Here is a 5,353-nt window from a genome sequence, read left to right as displayed (position 1 = left end):
TTAAAACCTTTGCCGCCCTCCGCCCAGTGCCTCCTTTCTCCTCTCTGGCAAAGGACCCTGCCTCCTCCGCCAGGAAACAGGTCAGCAGTGGAGCCCCCCACACCCGCACCCACACCCATCCTTCCTCCGTGTAATGCCAGCGTCCTCCAGGCTCTGGGCCTCTCTCTGCTTCCTCAGGGCTGTGCTCTGTAGCCTCTGTCTGCCAGGTCCTTCCCAGAAGTATGTAAACTACTTGTCGGCCAGGCGCGGTGGCTCACGCCTGTAATCCCAGCACTTTGGGAGGCTGAGGCCAGTGGATCGCCTGAGGTCAGTGGATCGCCTGAGGTCAGTGGATCACCTGAGGTCAGGAGTTCGAGACCAGCCTGGCCAACATGGTAAAACCCCGTGTCTACTAAAAATATAAAAATCAGCCAGGCGTGGTGTTGCGCACCTGTAGTCCAAGCCACTCAGGAGGCTGAGGCAGGAGAATCACTTGAACCCTGGTGGCGGAGGTTGCAGTGAGCTGACGTCATGCCATTGCACTCCAGCCTAGGCAATAGAACGACTGTGTCTCAAAAAGAAATAAACTGCTTGTCACCTGCCTCATTAGAGACAGGATCTTGCTGTCACCCAGGTTGGAGTGCACTGGCACAATCAGCTCACTGCAGCCTTGAACTCCTGGGCTCAATGAGGACCCACCTGCCTCAGCCTCCTGAGTGGCTGGGACTACAGGCGCCTGTCACCACGCCTGGCTGTAGCCAGACACTTTAAAAGAGTTGTCCGCCCTCACTGTCTCCACCCCACCTCCCGTTCTGCTAAGATTTCTCTCATCCGTGACCCACCTGAATGTGGCACTGCCACACTGCTGGGCACTCAGGCTGGTCACTGAGCTGCTTACTTGGCTGTACTTTGCCATTTGGATGTCCCAGACACCTCAAACTCAACCCATCCGAACCTGAGATCAGCTCTCCCTCCCAGTCTCAGGAATTGACACCACCACCTCCCCAGGTGCACCAGACAGGATCACTGGAGGCGCCCTCTCCCCACCTTACCAGCCTATGCAGTAGACAGGGCCCAGTACATGGAGTCTGGAACCCACATATGCCCACTGCTACCACCCAGCGCAGTCCAACAGCATCCCCTGCTGGCACTGCCTGGCCCATCTCCTGCCTACTCCCTCCGGTCCACGTTCCAGCCTGCTCTTCTAAACCACACCTGCTGAACAACTGTTTTTTTTTCTTTTGAGACGGAGTCTCACTCTGTCACCCAGGCTGGAGTGTAGAGTGCAGTGGCGCGATCTTGGCTCACTGCAACCTCCACCTCCTGGGTTCAAGTGATTCTTGTGCCTCAGCCTCCTGAGTAGCTGGGACTACAGGCATGTACCAGCCACCACGTCCAGCTAATTTTTGTTTTGCTTTTTTTAAGTAGAGATGGGGTTTCACCATGTTGGCCAGGCTGTCATCTCCTGTCCCCGCGATCCACCCACCTTGGCCTCTTTAAGTGCTGGGATTACAGGCCTGAGCACCGCACCGGGCCTGAAAAGCCTTAAATGGCTTCCCAGTGCGTCAAGATCAAGCCCACCTTCCTCACCACAGCAAGCCTTTCCCATACTCGTATCCTGCCACTCCCTCCCCTCCCTGTAGACCCTCCAGGTCCTCACATGGGCTGTGGTCTCTTCTCAGGGCCTTCACACAGCTGTTTCCTCTGGTCTGAGTAGATGTCTACTTAATGCTTCAGGCCTGACTTTGACATTGATCACTCCCTCTGGGAGGCCTTCCAGGATTGACAGCACTGAACTGGGTCCCCATCTATGTGCTCCAATACCACTCTGTTTCACACATCACGCCTAGCACTAGCCACACTACAGCAGCCTGTTTGCTGACCCTATTCCCCAAGCGGACTGTGCGCAGCACCGCGAGAGCGGGAGCTGCTGCCCATCAGGGTAGTTCAAAATACAACACAGGCATGGCACAGAGTAGGTACCTCAACATTTGAGTACTGGACTAATGCTTCCAACACACCCTACCCCACATTACCAAAGAATTTATCTGTGGTTTTGTTTCCCCAAGGCCAGTATGATGGTTCATTTCCAAATTTGGTGAGGAAAGTTTCATAACAGCCTAAAAGGACAAAATCAGTAAATGGCTCAGTTTGACCATAGGCTGACACTAACCAAAATTAAAGTTAGAGAACAAGATGGGCAACAGCTGCAGGTGGAGGTTTAACCGCTAACAGATGACAGAAATGTGAAGGCATCTTCCAAGGACAGGAGACTGAAGTTACAGAGGCAGCTCCAGGAAGGCGAGTGGAGGAGGGCTAGGGCGGGAGGAAAGGGTGTGTGGGGGACGGCTTGAACTTTTTTTTTTTTTTTTTTTTGAAACCAAGTCTCGCTCTTTTGTCCAGGCTGGAGTGCAATGGTGCAGTCTCGGCTCACTGCAACCTCCGCCTCCCTGGTTCGAGCAATTCTCCTGCCTCAGCCTCCCAAATAGCAAGTAGCTGGGATTACGGGCATGTGCCACCACACCCAGCTAATTTTTGTACTTTTAGTAGAGATGGGGTTTTACCACGTTGGCCAGGCTAGTCTCAAACTCCTGATCTCAGGTGATCCGCCCACCTCGGCCTCCCAAAGTGCTGGCATTACAGGCATGAGCCACCGCGCCCTTGGCCGTCTTGAACTTTCAGACAGGTCTTTTAATAATTCCCTAGCGCCCTCACAGTTGAAAAAAGGTATTTTTTCCCCATTTTCTTTGGAATGAGCAGTATTAGAGAAAGAGGGGACAATTCGTCACCCACCTAAAAGTAGTTGAATATCAAAATATATCAATTTTATTTCTGCATCATAAATTTATAATTTTAACAACTTTGATCATTAGCTAATATAGTAATACAAAAAAATGAGAAAAAAGATGTTAATATTCCTCATTTCCATAAAGTGCAGATTTAATTTTCAATTATTTGCCTTAGTAAACATTGTCTTATTTCAGGTACTCCCTGCCCTCACTCAAAAAAAAGGGAGGGTGTTTAATTTTTATTGAACAAATATGTAATACCAAGAAAAAGATGAAAGACCCAATAATGTTTTTTGCAAACATGTTTCCAGGTAAGATTTCCAAGGACATCAGTACTGAGTGAAAAATAATCCTTTACAGTCAATATGAATGAATACACTAACAAGTACATCATTTAGATCTCCATGCTTATTTGGCAATTCCAGTTATGAAAAAGGTACATAAATAGTACAAACAATTGGCTTGACATGTGGCCAAACTACTTTCATCGAAGTTGCTGGAAGCCTTTCTCTGGTTTTGGCCCCTGTAGGAAGTTAATCTCATATTCCCTTAGCAATAATATAAGGTCACTGTTTCAGTCCTACACACTTTTATATTCAATGGGCTTCTTAGTTTATCACATAAGGACTGGCACTTTTTTCAAAAGAATATTGCTAACAGGGTTAAATGAGTGCTAATGGCTGAACGTTTGCCAAATGCTTACTTCTGCGATAGTATAAATATGGATTATTAAAGTTGTCTACTCAAGTATAAAATATATGCAAAACTCTCATAGGCAAAATGTTCAAAGGCCGGGAAAAACCTTTTTTTTTTTTTTTTTTTTTTAACTTTTACGAGAAAGTGCAACTGCAGGGTCTCTTGAATGATCTTCTAGACAGTTCCGCAGAAAATTAGCAGTTTGGCTCAGAAAGTAGAGTTCCTCAGGAGGAATTAAAGTTCTTCCTAGAAGAATACAAAGCAACGTTTCAGGCAGCTTTCTGAAAATAAACCATTAGCTTATGCCTACACAGCGAGACAAACTGGAACGTGTAATAATGAAGGCTTTCACATTTGTTGTGATGTGCTTTTTTTCTCTTACCCCAGGACCTCTAGCTGTTCTGTAATGTTACATAAAGTAGTTATAGCACTTCGTCCAGCACTGACAGCAGGCAGGAAGCTAATCAGCGAGGAGAAAATCGGAAGTGTGTTCATGTGTTTCATTGTTTTTCAGGTCAAATCTCAATACTTGCAAATAAATCATTAAAAAGATATAACAGTTTCTCTGTTATTTTCAGGACTTCATGTAGTGAGTGGGTAATCAGAGTGAAAGAGGGCTTTCTATCAGTCATCAGTGATACGTTCTGTCACACAGTCAGATTTTCAGCATTTGTTCGGCTGCTGCTAGATGATAAAGGAAGTTTTCTGTTGCTGGTGGAAATCGTTTTTGCTTTAGCGCCTCCAAATTAAGGACTCTCTTTTCTCCATCAGCCGAAACTTCTGAAAACGGTGCTAGGTTGGTAAAGATTTCTCTTGTTTTTAGAGCAATATCCTTTAATAGAACAGGAAAATATATGCAACATGTTAGTATCCGAAATTTGAATATTTAGTCTCTAGAATTCTTCCTATTTTTTCCAGACTGTTTATAAACTATGAAAAATGAGCTTGGCGTGGTGGCTCATGCCTGTAATCCCAGCACTTTGGGAGACCGTGGCAGGAGAATGTCTTGAGTCAGGAGTTAGAGAATGCAGTGAGCCATGATTGCACCACTGCACTCCAGCCTGGGCAACCCTGTCTCAAAAACGAACAACAAAAAAGATAACTCCTTTTTTTGTTGTTGTTTTCGAGACAGGGTCTCGCTCTGTTACCCAGGTTGCAGTGCAGTGGTTCAATCATGGCTCACTGCAGCCTCGACCTCCCAGGCTCAAGTGATCTACCCACCTCAGCCTCCTGAGTAGCTGGGACTACAGGCATGCGCCACCACACCCAGCTAATTTTTAAATACTTTTTGTAGAGATGGGGTTTCACCATGTTGCCCAGGCTGGTCTCAAACTCCTGGGCTCAAGCAATCTGCCCACCTTGGCTTCCCAAACTGCTGGGATTATAGATCTGAGCCACTGCATCTGGCCTGATAATTCTTTTTAAAGAAAAAATTAGGAAAAATGAAACAAAATTAACTTAGAAAAATCATAGTGTGTGGTTTTGGTTTTTTTTTTTTTTTTTTTTTTTTTACAATTTTAGTCATTTTCTGAGTGTATAATTCAGTGGCATTAAGTACATTTGCAGCGTTGCACAACCATCACCACTATTTCCAGCACGTTTCACCATCACAAACAGAAACTCTACCCATTACACAATAACCCCATTTCCCCTCGCTTAGCCCCTGGGAACCTCTATTCTGCCGTCTAACTCTGTGAATTTGTCTGCTCTAGATAGCTCATATAAGTGGAATCATACAACATTTACCCTTTAGTGTCTGGCTTATTTCATTAGCATGGTTTCAAGGTTCATCCATGCTATAGCATGTATCAGAATTCTATTCCTTTTCTCCCCCCCAACAAAAGCCACATTCAAAACATTCCATTCCTTTTTAAGCTGAGTAATATTCT

At 45.8% G+C, this 5,353-nt stretch overlaps 1 protein-coding gene across 11 annotated transcripts in view; it reads right to left on the bottom strand.

Moving 5' to 3' along the window:
- The window catches only part of DENND10 (DENN domain containing 10), a 33,872-nt gene continuing 31,301 nt past the window's right edge, over positions 2,783-5,353 (bottom strand). For 10 of the 11 annotated variants that reach the window (NR_130122.2, NM_001303111.2, XM_006717849.5 and 7 more), the window contains one exon: positions 2,783-4,296. Coding sequence is in view for 10 of the 11 variants with exons in the window: in NM_001303111.2 (NP_001290040.1) it covers positions 4,120-4,296 (177 nt within the window). In the remaining variant the exon portion in view is untranslated. The remainder of the gene's footprint in view (positions 4,297-5,353) is intronic. The other variant, XM_017016264.3, reaches the window with a different exon arrangement.

This window comes from Homo sapiens, chromosome 10 (genome assembly GCF_000001405.40).
Source record: "Homo sapiens chromosome 10, GRCh38.p14 Primary Assembly".
Taxonomy (NCBI): Eukaryota; Metazoa; Chordata; class Mammalia; order Primates; family Hominidae; genus Homo; species Homo sapiens.
This window is presented reverse-complemented; position numbering and strand designations above follow the sequence as displayed.